The 19,343-nt window shown below is 41.5% G+C and overlaps 1 protein-coding gene across 2 annotated transcripts in view, besides 3 other annotated features; it reads right to left on the bottom strand.

Annotated features, from left to right (window-relative positions):
- TLN2 (talin 2) overlaps positions 1-19,343 on the bottom strand; it is a 454,082-nt gene that overhangs the window by 121,049 nt on the left and 313,690 nt on the right. For both annotated transcript variants that reach the window (NM_015059.3, NM_001394547.1), the window contains 7 exons: positions 16,330-16,497; positions 14,787-15,081; positions 11,506-11,672; positions 7,124-7,252; positions 5,894-6,007; positions 3,703-3,816; positions 1,096-1,230 (listed from right to left, as the gene is read on the bottom strand). In NM_015059.3, coding sequence (NP_055874.2) covers positions 1,096-1,230; positions 3,703-3,816; positions 5,894-6,007; positions 7,124-7,252; positions 11,506-11,672; positions 14,787-15,081; positions 16,330-16,497 — 1,122 coding nt within the window. The remainder of the gene's footprint in view (positions 1-1,095; positions 1,231-3,702; positions 3,817-5,893; positions 6,008-7,123; positions 7,253-11,505; positions 11,673-14,786; positions 15,082-16,329; positions 16,498-19,343) is intronic.
- Positions 663-1,163: an enhancer, noted in NCBI's record as "H3K4me1 hESC enhancer chr15:63014619-63015119 (GRCh37/hg19 assembly coordinates)". NCBI's record gives its function as "activates a minimal SCP1, AML or CMV promoter by ChIP-STARR-seq in primed H9 embryonic stem cells {active_cell/tissue: H9 hESC(primed)}" and the evidence as "EXISTENCE:reporter gene assay evidence [ECO:0000049][PMID:30033119]".
- Positions 1,164-1,664: an enhancer, noted in NCBI's record as "H3K4me1 hESC enhancer chr15:63014118-63014618 (GRCh37/hg19 assembly coordinates)". NCBI's record gives its function as "activates a minimal SCP1, AML or CMV promoter by ChIP-STARR-seq in primed H9 embryonic stem cells {active_cell/tissue: H9 hESC(primed)}" and the evidence as "EXISTENCE:reporter gene assay evidence [ECO:0000049][PMID:30033119]".
- Positions 14,642-15,413: an enhancer, noted in NCBI's record as "H3K4me1 hESC enhancer chr15:63000369-63001140 (GRCh37/hg19 assembly coordinates)". NCBI's record gives its function as "activates a minimal SCP1, AML or CMV promoter by ChIP-STARR-seq in primed H9 embryonic stem cells {active_cell/tissue: H9 hESC(primed)}" and the evidence as "EXISTENCE:reporter gene assay evidence [ECO:0000049][PMID:30033119]".

Below are 19,343 nucleotides of genomic sequence, written 5' to 3'. Positions count from 1 at the left end.
AACAGGGCAAGACCCTGTTTCACAAAAAAAAAAAAAAAAAAAAAGTTTTCACAGTGTGTCTTCCTGTACCCAATGGACAGTCTTGCTTGAGTCCCACTTTAGGGGTCACTGCTTTCGAGCAGTGTGGTTCAATGTTGGTGTGTGTCTCAGACTCAGCAAAGAAGCTTGTGAAAATGCAGATGTTCAGGCTCTACAACCAGAAATTCTAATCTGGTTTCTCAGAGGCAAGGCCCAGGGATGTGCATTCTAATAAGCATCCCCAGGTGATTCCAGTGTAGACAGTACCACGAGCTCTCTTTGAGAAACACAGGTCAAAATAACTTTTTTATTGGCTATAGTCTAAAGCTCTGGATATTTTTATTTGGCAGTGTAGCATTCTCCTCATATTAAGAATTCAGTCAACTTCTACCTTCTTCTCTTACCAATTTATGAGGCTGCTTGTTTCTATAAAGGGATTGCTACAATGAAGAAAAGTGAATTCATGCTAGAACTTCATGCTAATACCACATCAAACAGAGTAGTAAATGAGGCCCTTTGGTAATTAATATGCTCCAGAGACAGAAATTTAGTCCTCAACTCTGTTCTCTTGAAGACCTTGTTAAGGTGAATGCTCCCACGCAATAAGTGAAAACTTTGCAGGGCAAAAAAGATAATAAAGATGACACTTCAAAATAGATTTTCTGCCTATATAATTTGTTATTAAGTTCACAAAATGATACCTGGAATATATGATCACTTATTCTGGACTACAATTTAGCTGGCACTGAGACACTGATGACTACCATTCTCCCCTAAGACTTGTGAAAAATGGACCACTGCTTGTTCCAGGATATGGAAAGAGGAGGAGGAGGAGGAAGTACACAACTCAAAATAGTTCAACGAAAGGCATTTGAAATCAAAAAGTGAATACTAAGTCTGGGAGATAGTGGCTTAATGCAACAAAAGCCAACCCACAGGGGCATCTTTAATAGTCATGCAAGTAGAATGGACAACTTTGCCAAGAAATAGGTTCAGCAGTGTTCAGGCCCTGGGTGGTACCCATGCCACCCCAGCTCCCTTCCTGACAAGTTAACCCCTATGACACGCTCCACTTGCCTTCTGCGAGGCGGTACGCAGCTCCGCCAAGCTGGTGGCCAGGTTCTTGGCACACTGGCTCAGCTGCATGGCTGCGGCCTGGTCACTCACGGTGGGCACTGCGGCTTTGGCAGAGGACACCATCTTGCTTCCAGGCTATAGAGAGATGAAAAGAAAGTAAGATGGCTCCTGGGCAGCAAGAGGTAGAGAGGAGAGACCTAAGCAGCGAGGTCTCCACAGCAGTAAGAACTGATTTTGTCCTAAAAAAAAGGAATATTAAACAACTCATCCCCTATTCCCAAACTGCCACCTCAAGCCAGATACTCTAGGGCAGTACCTTCTAGGAATGTTTAAAAAAAGAAAAAAAGGAGGTGTCATGGAGGGTAGAGGAGGCAAAATTAGAATAGTGGCTTGAAATTCTCATTTAAAACCGATTTCAAAGAGAGTTCCTTATTAAATAGGTTTCACTGTATTTCTCAGAATAGCTCTTTATTCTGAGTCTCACGTACACTCAAAAGACTGCTTAGAAAAATGAAGACAGATAAATAAAACAGCTAACATGACCTCGCACCTCACAAAGCAAAATAACTTCGCCAGTGAAGGGACATCTATGTGCATGTACATATTTTTCAAAAATAAGATCACACTGTTCACTCTATCTCACAATCTCCTTGTCTCACATATCCTACCTTTTAAAGAGCTATATAATATTCCAGTATATGCAACTATTGCCATTTCTCAATTCTCTATTGTTGGGCATGTTTCCATTTTTTCCAATTTAATAAACAATGCTATGATAAACAGCTCTACAGCTAACTCTGTACATATTTATAATTTTCTTTGTATAAATTTTTAAAAGTTGAATTTCTGGATCAAAGAGCATACATACTTTTAAGACTTTTAATATATATGTTATAAAACTACACTTAGAAAAGTTCCAACAAGTGCCAGATCATAAATATTAAGGACAAAAGTTAATATTTTTAATATTTAAAGAATTAATGAATATTTATAAAAGCTACCATGAGTATATAAAAAGCACAAACATAATTTTGCATAATAAAAAATAACTGAAACTTATGAAAAATGTTTAACATTGTGAATATCGGAGAAATGCAAAACCAAACAAAAATAGTTTTACAGAGCAAACTGGCAAAAACATACATGTTTTCTTAAAAGTTGAATCCCCAATCTCATAAAAGATATATTTAAAAGCATGCTCTATATACTGCTAAGTTGTAAATTTAGATTTGTTCAACCTCCTGGAAGAGCAATGTTATAACATGAAGTTTAAAATGTACAAACTTTTTGATCTGTCAATTCAATTTCTATTTATTTTCAACCTTCCCTTTTTCTCGTAAAGATCTGAGTATCTATACTAGCAAAGTTAAAAGAACAAAAGAAAAAGGGAAAACAAGGGCAGGGACAGAGTGGAACCAGGAACACATCTACACGGCTCTATCTTAATGCCCTACAATCTTGTCAGGGTGGAGACAGTACCCACAAATGGCTCCAGGCTCTCTCCCCTCCCAAATGAAGAGAGAAATGCCTTGTCCAAGTCATAATCTGCAAAGTCCTAAAGATAAAAATAAGCTGTTTACAATCCTCTCTCTAGGAATTCAAGAAAAGACTTGAGCACATAAAGATTTTTATCACGTTATTCATGATGGCAAAAAATTAAAAACCTGTACGTCCAATAATGAGAGAAAAGTTAAATGAAGAGTATAGTCATATAACAGAAGATTATTCAAAATCATAAACACTCATAATATGTTAGATGAAAAACACAAAGGGCCTATATACAATGAATACCAATTTAAAAGAATACACACACACACACACACACACACACACACACACCTGTGTTGTATATGTATGTAGTTAAAATATGAGGAGATATATCAAACCTTTCATGTTTTATTTCTGCATGTTAGAGTTATATAACTTGAAAAATGAACCAAATAGATGTATCACTGGGTCCTACAACTATCAGTTGAACTAGAAAGGGATGAGGAATTGACCCACCTCATAATATCAACTGCTTATGAGATACAAGTCGAGAAAAAGTGCTGATAAAGTAGAGAGATTTGAATATAAGAAGCACGTAAAGGGGAATTTTTCCACAACTTAATATTTTCGTTTATTTTCCTTAAAATGAATCTACCCTTCACCCCACAGAGACTGACAATACTAACTGTACAATTGCCACAAAGAACGATCATATCTTTGGAGAAGACGCACTTAACATTTCTTTTCCCGGTCCATGAACAATGGCATTAGGATCTCTGGAAACAAAAACCTAAAGCAATGCCTAGTCCTAGGCTGTTCATCACAACTTGCAACATTTTACGTGTTTTCTTCTCTTTGAAGAGAAATAAATACGATAATCCTGAGGAAAACGGAACATATGCCATCTCCACAGGGCAATTTCCCTGCATATCAGCATTTTGCTTTGCCAAGCTGAACCCACCTCTCCTGAAACTGGAAAGGTAAAGAAGAGGCCTTCAAGCCCTGCCTACCGCAAAGACTTAGCTGAGGCTGTGGAATTCATTAACTCCTCTCCTTAAAGGGCAGCCCCTGCCCAGAAGAGGGCTCTGAGTGAGCCCAAGGTGACCACAGCCCTGTTACCTGGAGGAAGTTCTGGCTGGAGATGATGAGAGCCAGCTGGGCACTCAGGTCTTCAGCTTGAGCTTGGCTCCCCCTCACTCCCTGGACCAGCTGAGGGATGTGATCAGCCACTGCCTGCAGAAGGCAAGGAAATAAAAACAGCATGGCTAGAATGGTGGGACCATCCAAAGAAGCTAGACCATGACCCAAGTGCGCTTTTTGGATGTGCCATCTACTCCCAGGGGACGCCAGCCCCAGACCTTGGATAGACACTGCACATTAAGCCAGCTGGGTCCTTACCAACACTGAATCCCATTTTCTGGGCATTTTCTCTACACATACTCTACCCTGTGGTCCTGGAAGTCTCGATACATTCCTTCGAAGATGATTGTCTATGATGAGGCCTAAAAGAATTTCCTTAGTTGCAACTCACACCATCTGGCTCATTGGCACTGCAAACCTAGAATCAAAGGATCTACACGATTCACAGGTGGTAAACTGAAGTGTACAGCCCCATGTTCAGAAGGTGAGGGAAATACTTGGATACCAGTGCATGTAAGTGCTTTGGCTTCTTACTTTGCAGGCACACATTCTGCGCCTTTGTGTTGCCATGGCCCCTCTTTGTCTAAGAAGGACTTCTCATTCTCAAACTGGAAAGCCCAAAGCCAGGGGAAAGGAGAGAGGCACGGCATTCTGTGAGGCAGTGCTGCTGTACAGTAATGGGCTCCTACAGTGTGCCTTGGGAGATGAGCCTTTTACTTTCTCTGTGTTCTGTCCCTGTTTCCTTTCTGTGCCCGCACCTCCTTCTCTGGTTAATGAGGCTCTCAGAGGCCACAGCACTGTGGCCATCGTTGTGGATAAAGGTGCCCAGTGCATACTGGCCTGATGACATATTTTTCTAGGACTGCTCCAGCACAAGTTAAAACAAATATTTCCATGGAATTTTTCCCAGGCCCCCTTTAGGACTGCCAGTTCTGCTAGTTCTAGTCATTTGCTCCACTCTCCCCTCTCCATCTCAATCCTTTCATTTCCTGGTAGTGACACTCAAGACCTAGTATCTTCAGTCTCTCTGCAGAAGAGGGGCGAGAGGTCTCACTCATCCTGTGGCATGTCCCTGCATGTGAGCAGCACATGCTTCCTGAGAAGAAAGTTTTCACCCCTGCTAGCAGCTGAGCTGAGGACCCAATAGGAAGCAAACTCCTCCACAGCAGAGGCCTCACTCTCAGCAAGACTCCTTCTCTATCCACACAGGACCGAAGGACACCAGCCCAGGACCCTACTATGTCACTAAGGCTTTTCTTCCTGGAGTGCATTCAGTCCACAACAGCAGTAGGGCTGGCCTCAGAGAATCCAGATTCAGGAATACAGGGCTCCATCAGAAGCAAAGGCCATTTCTGAAGTGGGAGCAGTGGCACCCCTCACAAATGTGAATCATTTGGCAGAGATTTGAAGAAGCAGAGAGGGTTGCAGTTGGCTCTCATAACCCCAGCAGAGACAGGTATGCCTCCCAGCCAGCCACCACAGCTAGCTGCAAATACTTCCAGGACATGCCAGCCAGATGTGCCACCCACATGTGGGCAGTGGCTTTGCAACTGGACTTTGTGTCTGCCACCATTAAGAGGAGCCCTGGGGGAGTCAACTCCCTGGGCTCTTAGAGAAACCAACAAGGGTGTTTACTGTACCTTTTGTAGTAAACTGGCCTCAACTTAGCATCAAGGCCCAGGTGTCAGAAGAATAGAGACAAAAGAGCAACAACAAAAAGCACCAAAGTACAAAGTCACAGAGGCTAGATGGGATGAAATAAATCCTTGAGGTGCAATTATTAGAAAGCAGGAAATGAACCCTGCTCCAGGGAGCGAGGCTGAATTTGAAGTCCTGCCTCTCAAAGAAAGGCACTCTGGAAACTCAACACTTCCTTCCCATTTCAGAGCCCTAAAATGGCCTCGTCATTGATCCTCTTTGGCTCAGTCTCTTGAAAAGAAAATTGTGGACAAAAGTAGACAACGCTGGAAGAAAATCACACTTTCCAAACACAGGCCATCCACTTAATGGACAAAAACCAGACGTGTAGACACCTGGAACATGGGAACTGGGGCAAATTGGATTAGGAGCTTGGATAATCTGTCTTTACTGAACTACCAGGGGACTTGGTGTTCTAATGTTATCAGGGTCATCTGCAGCTGACCTGGCTCTCTGTGCACTGGAACCTCACCTTGCAACTCTGGACCAGCTGCTGCTGGGCCGCAGGGTTCTTGTTGGAAACAGCTGCATTCTGGGAGGCGGCGATGGTCTGTGTGGCTGCCGCTGCGGCCTGCTTGGCTGCAACCTGCAGAGGAGTGATAGATGAGTCAGGATCTGCATATGCAATATACATGCATGTTCTACAGGTCACTTCCACCACAGAGTCAGGACAGGTTTGTGGCTCTAAAAGAACTCCAAAGAGCAGGCTTTGCCTTTTAAAACCAGTGATGACCCTAATCTTACAACACGCTATCTTCCTTGTGTTGACGTCCTCTGAGACAAGTGACAAAGACAGGCACGCTTGAAAGCTCAAGCTTTGAAGTTCATTTGTTTTTCTCAAAAACAAAAAGGATGATTCCAAGATCATAATGACACTGACAAGCTGCACCAAGTCTAAATGTGTGGAAAAAAAAATCTCCCACAAGCAGCGTAGATGGTTCTGTGTCAAGCACAAATGCTGGTGCCCATGACTCTCCTCTCTCAGCACTCAGAAGCCTTAGTTCCAAAATGCAGAGACTTTCCAACCAGGGCACTTAATTGTGTTTACCCTCTTGTCTTTGTCCAAGAACAACAATGTTACTTTTCTTCCAGAATATAGCAGACTGCATATGGAGGGACTTCTCAGTACACAGGCAAAGGTCTCATCTTCCAAACTCTCAAATTTCAGTGTAAGGGTCTCCTGTGTGCATTTGTCAGACAAACTTTTTAAAAAAAAAAAAAACATAGTTTTTGCCTATTACTATTTCAACTTTCTTTTTCAGAATAATTATTTCAAAAAATAACAAATATATTTCACTCCCTTCTATACCTATCCACCCAAGCCTAATCTCCACCTCCAGTCTTTGAAGTCCATATTTCCTATGGGAAGCCCTGACAAAGTCACTGACTCCAACAAAATATAAATATTTTCAGCAAAAGGTCCTTCTTGAATGTGTATATCCTTTAATGATAGAAAAAAAAATCTGGTTCCTCCTGAAAAGAGTCTAAATTCTATTCCTGAATGCTAGAAAGGATTCGAGCTTACGGAAGCAGTTTTTTCCAATTGAGTCAATGCTTTTATAGTACTCAAACCTTCAAACAATGATGTGAACCTTGACTTGGCTTTCTTTATATTGTCAACACCTTGTTAATTCAACTATCTTTTCAAATAACTCTTTGCAATTTAAGATGGGCATCCCAGAAAGGCAGCCTCTTTCCTTACCTCCAGTCGGTTGACAATTTTTTTCTTAATAGCATTCTGGGCAGCTGCGTTGGTTGCTACCCGGAGGCCTTCTGCAGCTTCTCTCAGCCTTTGCTGCTGGTCCTCATTCTCTGGGTTGGCTGCAGCCCCCTGCAAAGGCAAAAATAAAGATTTCAAGTGGTCCAGCAGGAGACATCACTGAATTCATGCCTTCAGTATTATTTTTTCTTAGTAATAGAAAGCATTTGCAAGGATAGTCAAATGCCACAAGCAATATCTTTATGATGAAGATGTTTCCTCATGCAACAAAAAATACCTACCAGGGGATGTTTCAAAATTGCATAGCTAAGCAGTTAGAAATCCAAAGTAATAATTAAACACTTGAGAACATTGCCTTGGTTGTCCATACAAATTAACCTGTGGACAGAAACCCATGGTTTAAAAGATGGGAAGATTAAATCTCCCCTCTCCCCATCTCTCCCAGGGAGAATCTTCTTTTCATTGGCATGACACAGTAATGACACATGTCTTCATGTCACTCCTGAAATACCCTGTGGCACAGGTAAATGTGAAGGGGTAAGAGTCCAGTATCAACTCAGGTGGGGACAGAGGGAAGAGGGGGAAGGATGGAGGGAGGGCTCAGGAATGCCGTTCAAAAACACTCCAAGGAAATTTTGTTAAAGAAAGACCATGCCCAGAAATTACATTCCTAGAGAGACAGAGTTGGAAGGTCTAGTATAAAGTCGAGATGGTATCCAAATGTACTGAATTAATGAGAGAAATGTAATGCCGTCCACCTGACAGAAAAAGAGGAAGGCAATATGCCAGTCACGCTTTCTTTGTCCAGCCCCACAGCCCCTTTTACTTTGTTGCTTTTAGTTGAACATGTCTTAGAAATCTAAGTGGATTTTATTTAGATGGGTGGGATTCTGAAGCAGGGGAAGGCTAATGGTAATGTAGAGAAAGGATATAATTTTAACTCTATAATAATTCAACATGCTCACAGCACATCCAGCCTTCCTCTCCCACAACTATAACAGTAGCAATCAAGATTTCCCTCACCAGGGCCTGAATGCTTTGTAACATGTGCTTGATGTCTATAGATCAATGAGTTTCTTCCTATGAACGCTTTCAGGCAATAATATTTGCTCTCAAGGCAGGAAGAACAGCACACCGATTTATCAAAAGTCAATTTTCTAAACGTCTAGATTTCCAAGTGGCCAATTTGCTAAACTTACCAATTTATAAGAACCTATTTCTTTGAGCTATTTATAAAAGTTATAGCAATGCATACAGGATGGAATAGTTTTAACAGCTGTGGTAGAATTCTTTTGGCAACCCTCTTGAATAGAATCTCCTATTCTTTCAAACTTTAACCACTCTCATAATCTAGCAATGAAACATTTTTATTTCTGCATTTCACATGTAAAAGGATTGGGCTACTTTTGGATTCTTTTGCAAGTTTATGAAAGTCATTTTGTTTTTTTCTGTTCATCAGGTATTTTCTAAGCTGCTCCTTTATATATGTCTCAAGTGCACATCAGCCTAATTTTATGTATTTTGAGCAGCTGGAAACCAGCACTTCTGCACTTCACACTGATGTGGATGCTTTGGGTCCTTGCTCAGCAATGTCTTTTTTTATGATGAATATGTATCAGATATGGGGTACTAATTTTGGCCTGAAATCTTAGTTACTAATCATGAAATATATTTTTTCTGCACATTAAATATAATCCTTGGAAGTCTAACCATTGCGTGTTCTTTAGCTTTCAACAAAATTCAGCAAATTAAAATATTGCTACAAAGACAAAATGAAAACTTTTAACTAAAAGTTAAAAGAATTTACAGAAACACTTAATGTTGTCTCATTTAATATAAATAACCAAAATCACATGAATACTTAGAAGAAACGAGTTTCTGGTAACTTGGTAAATGCAGTGAATTGGCCTGATAAACAGTCACATCAAGAAACAAAACGTGGCTGGGCGCGGTGGCTCACACCTGTAATCCCAGCACTTTGGGAGGCCGAGGCGGGTGGATCACAAGGTCAGGAGATCGAGACCATCCTGGCTAACACGGGGAAACCCTGTCTCTACTAAAAATACAAAAAATTAGCCGGGCGTGGTGGCAGGCACCTGTAGTCCCAGCTACTCAGGAGGCTGAGGCAGGAGAATGGCGTGAACCCAGGAGGCAGAGCTTGCAATGAGCCAAGACTGTGCCACTGCACTCCAGCCTGGGTGACAGAGTGAGACTCTGTCTCAAAAAAAAAAAGAAAAAAAAAAAAAAAAAAACGTGCACATTGGCCTGGCTCAATACTGCTTATGTGGCATTAGCATTCATCTTTTATGAGTTTTAATTTTTTTCATTTGTAAAATAAGGAACGGACTAGATTTACCCTACAGTTCTTTCCAACCTACCAAGTAATTTTTTATGAACATAAGATTGCCTCAAATATCTATGTATAGACTGAGAGAGGTGGGGTAAACTAGTAAAACCTTTTAAAAAATTCAACTACTACATAAAACCCAATACATACATACACACACACACATACACACACACAGCATATATATATATATATATGGCTTAAAGAAGGGGGTTAATAGCAGAGCTTATTGGCTGAAACAGGGATTAGGAGACAAGGGAAGGAAGCTCAGACACTGTCCCTCCCTGGGTCTCTCTTTCACCCCTACCCACGAGGTGTCTCTAAGAACTCTCAGTCCCTCAAGTAACATGATGGACAGTTGAGTGAGGAGAGGTCCTCTACATGGCTCACTATGTGTCACAATACATTTTTTTTTTGAGACAGAGTCTTGCAGTATCTCCCGGGATGGAATGCAATGGCACGATCTCAGCTCACTGCAACCTCTGGCTCCCAGGTTCAAGCAATTCTCCTGCCTCAGCCTCCCTAGTAGCTGGGATTACAGGCATGTGCCACCAAGCCTGGCTAATTTTTGTATTTTTAGTAGAGACAGGGTTTTGCCATGTCGGTCAGGCTGGTCTTGAACTCCTGACCTCAGGTAATCCGCCCACCTCGGCCTCTCAAAGTGCTGGGATTACAGGCGTGTGCCACCATGCCCAGCCCACAATACATTTTAAGTGAAGTAACACACATATTAGGTTGAGATACCAATTCCCAAAGCCAGGGAGATGAGGTAAGATGTGGAGACACTTAATGAATCTATTTTTTGTTTTTTTTTTTTTTTTTTGAGACGCAGGTTTGCTCTTGTCACCCAGGATGGAGTGCAGTGGCACGATCTTGGCTCACTGCAACCTCTGCCTCCTGGGTTCAAACAATTTTCTCCTGCCTCAGCCTCCCGAGTAGGTGGAATTACAGGCGAACACCACCATGCCCAGTTAATTTTTTGTGTTTTTATTAGAGACAGGGTTTCACCATGTTGGCCAGGTTGGTCTCGAACTCCTGACCTCAGGTGATCCACCTGTCTTGGCCTCCCAAAAGTGCTGGGATTACAGGTGTGAGCCACCGTGCCTGGCCTTAATGAATCTTATATGCATAGAAATACATTTAAAATATTATTTTGAGGGCAGGAATTTGAAGGTGATTTTTATTTTCTTTTTTCACATTTATCTGCATTTTCTATTAATTCTATAAGAAATGTGTGCTAGGTACACAATAAAAAACCCAGAAAAATATAGCCTTATTCATTTAAAACAGTTCTCACCTAGAGATGCACATCGGAATATCCTGAAGAACTTAAACACATGCACGCACGCATGCACACACACACACACACTGAGTCCTACCAGTGACCTTGTGAATCAGGATCTTTGGGGATGAAACTGAGGCATGTGCATTTTAATATGTTCCACAGGGGGCTGTGTATCAGACCGCTGGTTCAGAATCACTAGGTTTTGTAAGCATTATGCTATAGCACAGCTGTCAAAAAGCATAAAGGAACTCTTAACTCCTCATCATTTTATAATATTTAAAACTGCAACTGGGATTTAAAGAACCGTAAAGTAGGAAATAGTCTACTGTGCAAAATCTTGATAATAGTTGAGAAGTCAAATGGAGGGCAAAAGTAACATTAAGGCATTAAGGAAGAGAATAGGTTTAGGTGAATTTGCTATTGAAAAATCTCAGGTTTAAATTAGTCACCACATTGAATGAAGCCAACAGTGATGACCAAATGGAAAAAGAGGCCTCCCTAAAGAGGGCACTTTGCTACTATGGCTGAGTCAGTACCACTTCCCTGAAGCATTTCATTCAGATGTTCCATTACCGCCTTTGCCACAAGAACAGGGTTAGATGTTACAAGCCATATAGGTTTTAAGCAAACAAAAATGCACACTCGGATGACCATGCCCCATCTGGAAAGTACCTTCCAAATCCTAACACTTAATAGTGTTCACTTTTCATACAAACAAATCCAGTAGAATACCTTTGCAGCTTCCACCATGCGAGCAGTGGAGTCAGCTAAGAGTTTTGCTGCTGCCAGGAGCTTCTTTGAATTCTCCATGTCGATTTCGGCTTCTGCATCTGACCTCATGGCATTGACGAGGTCTGATGTGGCTTGGGCCAGAACCCGCGCCTGGCGCACCATTTCACCTAGAAGACAGAATAGAGGATGAGGTCTGTTTGTCTGCTTTTCAAAGGTCAGTAAAACCTCAGGAGCCACTACAGTCTTGTCTCTACTCCTCTGGTAAGCAGGAGCAAAAAAACTGAACCTCCATGCTCTAGTCCTAAGCCATGCATCCAAATTAGAGCCCAAAATGAAAATATTCCCTGCGGCTGCCAGGATGCGGCTCCCCAAACACAGCCAGGTTCAACCTTTCACTATGAGGCATAATCAGAACAGAAGCAGCCAAAGAGGAACACTATAAAGAGAGGGCAGGGAACAAAATTACGTGGATTTAGCATTAGTAAATACTTATTTAGAAAACATTGCTTTCTTCACTTTGAAAACCACTTACACAAAAGCGTCTATAATAAACTTTTTGAAGAATTGGCACAGAACAAAATTACTTTTAAATTCTGTATTAATGTGTAGGTTACCTAGCACCAGATGAGGGATATCACACAATCCATTCAATGTGTGCCATTTGGCCTTCGCTTATTAGCTTCATGCTCAAATGCTATGACTTGCCTTGGCCTGGAGTTTTCTCTGCCAATTTTCTCTCTGCTCATCCTTTTTTGCCCAGCACTGATTTTGATCTTGCATTATTCTTTGGTCTTATTGTCCCTGTGATTTTACTGAAATCTATTTTAATTTCCTTCTGGAAGTAGGAGGAGTATAACAACCAACATTAAAAAATAGAACGATTCAAATCTTCCTCTAGCAAGAAATCTTCCTCTAGCAAAGGTCATCTGAGAAGAATGCCGAAGCACTATAACAAAAAGGGGGAAGAAGAAAGCTTTTACTAAAATAAAAATGTGCTCAATTCACTGTGGTATCCTGGACTGGATCCCGAGACGGTAAAAGGACATCAGCAGGGCCAGGCGCGGTGGCTCACGCCTGTAATCCCAGCACTTTGGGAGGCCGAGGTGGGCGGATCACGAGGTCAGGAGATCGAGACCATCCTGGCTAACACGGTGAAACCCCATCTCTACTAAAAACACAAAAAAATTAGCCGGGCGTGGTGGTGGGCGCCTGTAGTGCCAGCTACTCAGGAGGCTAAGGCAGAAGAATGGCATGAACCTGGGAGGCGGAGCTTGCAGTGAGCTGAGATTGTGTCACTGCTCTCCAGCCTGGGCAACAGAGCAAGACTCCATCAAAAAAAAAAAAAAAAAAAAAAAAAGGACATCAGCAGAAAAACTGATGAAATCTGAAAAATGTCTGTAGTTTAGTTAGTGGTTCACTAAAATACCAATGCTAATTTCCTGGTTTTTGACAAATGTGCTATCCTTTAGGGAAGATGTCAAAAATGGAGAAACTGGGAAAGGTATATGGGAACTCTCCATATTTCCTCTGCAACTTTTTTGCAAATTTAAAAGTATTTCAAAATAAAAGGATTGTCAAAAACAAACAAACAACAACAAATTCAAATGTGTGAAGCATTCCTATCTTGTTAAATTATTTAAGGATACAGAAGAACACAAGACAATTTTCTAAAAACACCAAAACTCGTTATAAGGTATTGTTCTATGCTGGCAAGGAAGCACAAAAATAGATCTCTTACAGATTACTAGTTGGGTTGCAAATTGTGGGTCCTTTCTGGAGAAAAATTTCTTAAATACATTTAAAATAAAAATCTACCTACTGGCCCAGCAACTCCATTAATAAGAATTTACCCTACGTAGGAAAAGTAAACTATTTTTACAAGAATGCTTATTGTAGTATTTTTGTAAAAGCAAAATGAACTAACAAACAAAAAAACTAAATGTCCATTAAAAGATTATTGGTTAAATTATGATACCTTCAAAAAATAGAATACTATGCTGCCACTAAAAAGATTAACATACAGGTGGACATGAAAAAAGTCCAGGTTGGGCATGGTGGCTCACCCCTGTAATCCCAGCACTTTGGGAGGCTGAGGCGGGCAGATCACCTGAGGTCAGGAGTTCGAGACCAGCCTGGCCAACATGGTGAAGCCCCATCTCTACTAAAAATACAAAAATTAGCCGGGCATCATGGCAGGCGCCTGTAATCCCAGCTACTTGGGAGGCTGAGGCAAGAGTATCTCTCGAACCTGGGAGGTGGAGGTTGCAGTGAGCCAAGATTGTGCCACTGCACCCCAGCCTGGGCAACAGGGTGAGACTCCATCTCAAAAAGAAAAAGAAAAAAGAAAAAAGAAAAAAAAAGTCTTTAAGATATATAAAATGAAAAGGTTATGAATTTCGGGAATTTTGATGGCACAGTGGTAAGCTGGGTTTGGGGAGACTTACTTTTCAATAGATTATAAAAAGGTGTATTGCGTATGTTTTTAAACTGACTGTATATTAGGTATGATGCTTTGGAATCTGAAAACACCCTTTTGCTGGAGACAAACTGTCCTCTTAGGGCTGGCCAATTTAGAGACTGCACAGGCTCAGCAGGGAACGTGTCTTTGATATGCAAACTAACCAACCCAGAGCTATTCCTCCTCTATCTGGCCCAGACACCCAGGAGACACTGCTCCTCTGCGTGGATCACCCCAGGGCCAGGTACCAGGTAACTAGCCACCACCTCCATAATTTAGAGCCTGCCAAAATTATTTAAACTAGCCAATCCTAAATTGTTTATTCTGCCCTGCATTTCCCAAGGAAGCTCCAATAAAGGCCATGGTCTAGGCCCTCCCCTTGCCTCTGTCTTCTCCCTCCTGACCACCCCGGTGCTCTCCCATGACCCTGTGCGGCATGTGGTGAGCCCTCCAGGGGACATGCAAGTATAATAAACTTCTTAAATTCCAAGCCTTGATCTTGTTTCCTTCTGTGGCTGCTCCAACTTTGCCATACCGTACCCAACACGTGCATTCGCAGAACAAAGGGGATTCACTGTAAATCTAACAAAATAACAAAATCTAACCATTATAACAAAAACCCAGTGAACTCTGTAGAAATCTGTAAGCATGACTATGGAAGAGTCTTATATCTTTTTCTGAGCTTCAGTGGGGAAGTCTTTGAGACTGAAGAGAACTTGCCCTTGCCAGTCATCCAGGCAGCCTTCACCTTCCCTATGGGTTAGCACCACCATCAGGAACATCAAAAGCCACCCATCCACCCACCCACAGCACAGTGCCTTACCAGCGTCACCCATGGAGCTGAAGATGCTCTCGGTGACACACATGATGGTGTCAGTAGCCTGGTCGTAGCGGCCGATGGGCTCGCCTCGGCTGGCAAACTGCCGCACATGCTGCAGGAGATCATGGAGGGCCTGGCTGACCACGCTGGCCGCTGCGCTGACCTGCTTCAGGAGCTCACTATCGGTAGTGGCCGCCTGGCAGGCACGGACACAGTTCTCCACCGAGCGGTCCACCAGCTTCCCTGCTTCAATCAGCTGCTCCTGGCACACAGGGGAGCTAATAGTGGGGCTCACAACCTGAAGTGAGACAGGAACAGGTTTTGGGCACTGTGGTTGAATCCTGGTCCCTCTCCATGTGCCCCCGCAGTCCCATCAAAGCCCTTCCTGCTCTGGGCCTCGGTTTCTTACTTACAGGACCACTGCTCGGTTTCTTACTTACCTGACCATTTCATTCAATGAAACCATTGCTTCAGTCTCACACGCTCTGCTATTCTACTTCATCCTTGTGATTTGACATGTCCCACTAATTTATAACTTCATTAGTCACATGTGACAGTCCATACTACTGCCCTACTTCCATACAGAGAAATTTCTGAGATTTCCCAATTATACCTCCTTCATTTTAGGATCCTTTGAATTGAGTCTTTTGAGTTGGGATACAAAGACTACCTAAAAGAATTCTATTTCTATTCCCAGAAACACCTGAAACTCTGCCTCATAGTCCTTTAAAGAACAGGGGGGTTCTGTCAGTTCCTTGTAAATTCTAGCAGCGTGGACAATGAAAGCTTGAGGGAGACGATGCTGCAAATCTTACCACAGGCTATTGATGCCAAGCTGAGCCAGATCACAGATCTATACAACATGACAGGCCATCAATTCCAGAAACGGACATTTCCCATCTTCTGCTGCATCATCACCGAGAGGACACATGAAGTAGAGGGGAAAGCGTATTTGGAGGCAGATGGACTTGAGTTGTAACTCTAGTTCTGCCACTTACTACTTCTGTGGCCTTAACCTACTGACATCTAAGGGCCTCAGATTCCTCATCAGTAAACTAGAGATAATGGTGCTTAATTTGCAGGATTACCGGGGAGATGTAATGAGGTGATGTATGACACACTGAGTGTGTATACCCTGGCAACAATTAAAATCCCCACTCGGACCCTGTGCAGCCTAGAAAGGGTTCCCATAAACTCTGTGGATTATTTCTGAACCCATTTGTAATGCTGTACCACGCATTGCAAGAACTATTTTTGTGCAGGTGTAAAGATGCACTGAGAAGTCCAAAGGGGAGACACAGCAATTTGCATATAGAAATGAACTAGTGAAAAGTACCAACGGCCTGAGGACTTGGGCAAAGAACAAATGATAAAAGCAGAATTTGACCGCTTATGCTAAAATCCTATCATCACTTAAGACACTTTAAGGAAGCTCTAAATCTCGGACTATTTAAACAAATTCTGCCCCTGCTACACACCAAATGCCTGGAGGCAGGTAACAGCAGGTGATACTGGGTAGAAAGGGCTGGGGTGCCAGCTGGCTTACCTTGGCACATGCCACAAGCTGGGAGGTGGAGAGGGCACACTGGGTGGCAGCAGCAATTACCCTGTTCTGTAGGACAGTGTCTTCGGCCACTTGGGCAACATTCTTTGCCTTTAGTACCAACATGGCAGCTGCATTGGCAACAGCTTTGGCCAAACTCATTAAAACATCCTAAGAAAAGGGAATCAAAGACTATTCATTTATTTTTCTCTAATCACCTTTCACAGCCTGAAAATAAACGTTATTAAAATTCCATTTGATCTTTTTCCTTCAGTACTTTAGAAGTTTTTTTACTTTTTTTTGAAATGTCAACTTATCCTTAGAAGTAATTAAAAAAGGAGACTTGTATCCTAATAACTCAGTCTCTTACATCCATTAAGTAGCATAGGTTTAAATCTAAAATAGTTAATTTGAGGGAAGGGTCATTATTTTAACCACTGATTCCCATTCATGCACTTATCTAACACGAAGTCTTGACCACGTCTCTTGAATGAGTGGCTGATATGGTAGATCAGGAGAAGCTGAAAACATATCCAGATGCCACAACATCATGTGCCATAAGAAGGTTATAATTCATGGCCTCCAGTCATCATGCCCCACTGCAACTTGAAAATGTATCTTTTGGATTTCTACTTTGCACAAAGATCCAAGTCGTCATCAGAAATTTAGCCATATCTCTACCTCCAGAGGGCAACATTTGATGTGCACAGACACATAGCTGGCACCAATACCTATAGCTCAAGAGCCAAGAAATGCTCTGAACATGAGTTATTCTCAGTGTTCTGCAGCCTTCTGGGTAGGAATTAAATTATTACAGAAAGCAGAAAGAGAGCCTATATAAATACACTAGCTATAAGATGGTCTGACTGAAAATGCGAGGAGCTAGTTTATGCTTCAACTCAATGACTAGGCATTCTGCCTGCAGAAAGAAGAATCCTTTGATTGAGCCTACCAGATTTGTCACCCATCTGTCTGACCTGAAGAAGAACCATGGTTACAATTAATTTACTTCTTTGCTTTTAATACTGAAAGTAGTTTATTTGACTTGGAAATGCCTTCCCAAACATATGAGCCATTTTTATTTGGAACAAACACGTCAAGGCTTTTCCCTTCAAGGAAATACGGTCAGAAGTCTTTATTAATTCATCAGATGATAAAGAGCACATTTGATTCTAAATGTAAAGGGCACCCACAGCGTCTTTACAGTGAGATATTTTATGAGAAGATACATTGGAAATAATATTCAGCCTGCACAATTTTACATAGAACAAAGACTAGATACAATCCAGCTAAACCAGAAACCCATGAATCTATCAAGTAAGCTGATTTTAAAATGGACAAAAACTAAGTGGTCTTAAAGGAGCAGGTTATTCCAGTCTTTCTCAGGTCTGTGATGTTTCCTGGCTATCCAAGGTATAATTAAAGCCCATGGTGCTGAAAGCAGAAGATCCCTTTGGGATCTGACTGGCACTTGTCTACCACACAACTTTTAGGAATTGCTCCCACTATGGCAAAGTTACAATTCCTGGACATCTATCTCAATGCTCAGTGAAAACACAGCTTGAATGTCACAAATTATTAAAAAGATTTTTAAAAATAACTTTCCAAAGTAGGTCATAGTATTCCCTCACTTGATATGAATTCATCTTTTCAGATGGGGGGCCAGGATTTGGTCACATAGAATCATGATTGTTCTAAAGGACTTTGTTAGAATTGTTTAAAGAAATCCTGTTCCTCTTATTAATTTTGTCCAAAAAAATACAGTCAGAAAAAGAATGTGATACTACAGCTATAGCTGCTGACAAGGCCTTTGTCAAAATTTTCAACAAGACCACTATTATATAGCCAGTGTAAAATAAATCTTTGTTAACTATGGGAACATGCAGTACATTAAGAAATCAAGAAAAGCTCTGAGATATGATCTCAAGAATCAGAAGAATAGAGTAAGAAATCCAATGTCAGTTACCCATAACTGGAGGAGGTTGCAGGATCACCTTACTGCCCTGGTCTTTACCTAGAGAGCTAAACAATTGAAAACATTCAAGTCTGGCCTGTCCCTGCTAACAAAGGCTCTGTAGGACTGTCACCCTGAACCTGAACCTGCTTCCTTTGCACATCTGAATAGAAACAAACATTAGGAAGCAGGGTTGACATTCACACACAATGAAAATAATCTGCTAAAGCAGGGAGAGGCAGGAAAAGCTTTTAAAAAATACAAGGTTGCATGGGATGTTTAAAGGAAGAATTGTGACTTTCTCCTTAACCTTCCTTGGCACTTTGGAGAAAACAATAATATTAATACTTTTGGGGAACATAAATGACTACGTCAAGATAATTAAGCCCAGTAAAACAGCAGCTGAATCTCATATTTACCAAGTTCCTAAATAGGTACCTGCCTACAAATAATTACCTGCCCTAATATAAAAAGTAAAGGCCAATGCAAGGGCAGTTTGGGGATATGGAAAGGCAAATTAGAATGGGGACACAATTAACTTGGGTTTAGCAGAATATATTGATGTGCAGTTCATTTTGATTCTAGGGAACTTATGACCAGCCATCTCAGTGTAGAAATGGCTTCCAGGAATATTCCTACCACCCATCATATGAATTCAACCTCTATCATGACACGAATGTCTGTACATTGAATGTCTTATTGCACTGCAGGATATGAATGAGTCCCATAGCCCAGTGCCACAGGCATGTGGAGAGTGAAGGAGAAACAAACACATCTATGGATGAAGGTTGAAGTTTCATGTCTCACAACATACATGATCCCATCTTCGTTTAACTAACACATCTTATGCTTATAAAATTTGGAAGTTCTAGATAAAATGGCATGCAAAATTGCCACCCATGAAGCAAGAAACCTGAATGCCAGAGGATCTTTTTGTTCCGTCTATAAAATATTATAAAATCATTGCCAAATGAAGAGGTGGTCAAAACAGATGAAGTCAAAAATGCAGGAAAAAAGGTATTTAGAAGTGTCAGGTAGTTAATAAAAACATTACGTTATTTTT

The sequence above is a fragment of the Homo sapiens genome, chromosome 15 (genome assembly GCF_000001405.40).
Source record: "Homo sapiens chromosome 15, GRCh38.p14 Primary Assembly".
Taxonomy (NCBI): domain Eukaryota; kingdom Metazoa; phylum Chordata; class Mammalia; order Primates; family Hominidae; genus Homo; species Homo sapiens.
The sequence above is the reverse complement of the archived record's forward strand: the minus strand, read 5'-3'. Positions and strand labels throughout refer to the sequence as shown.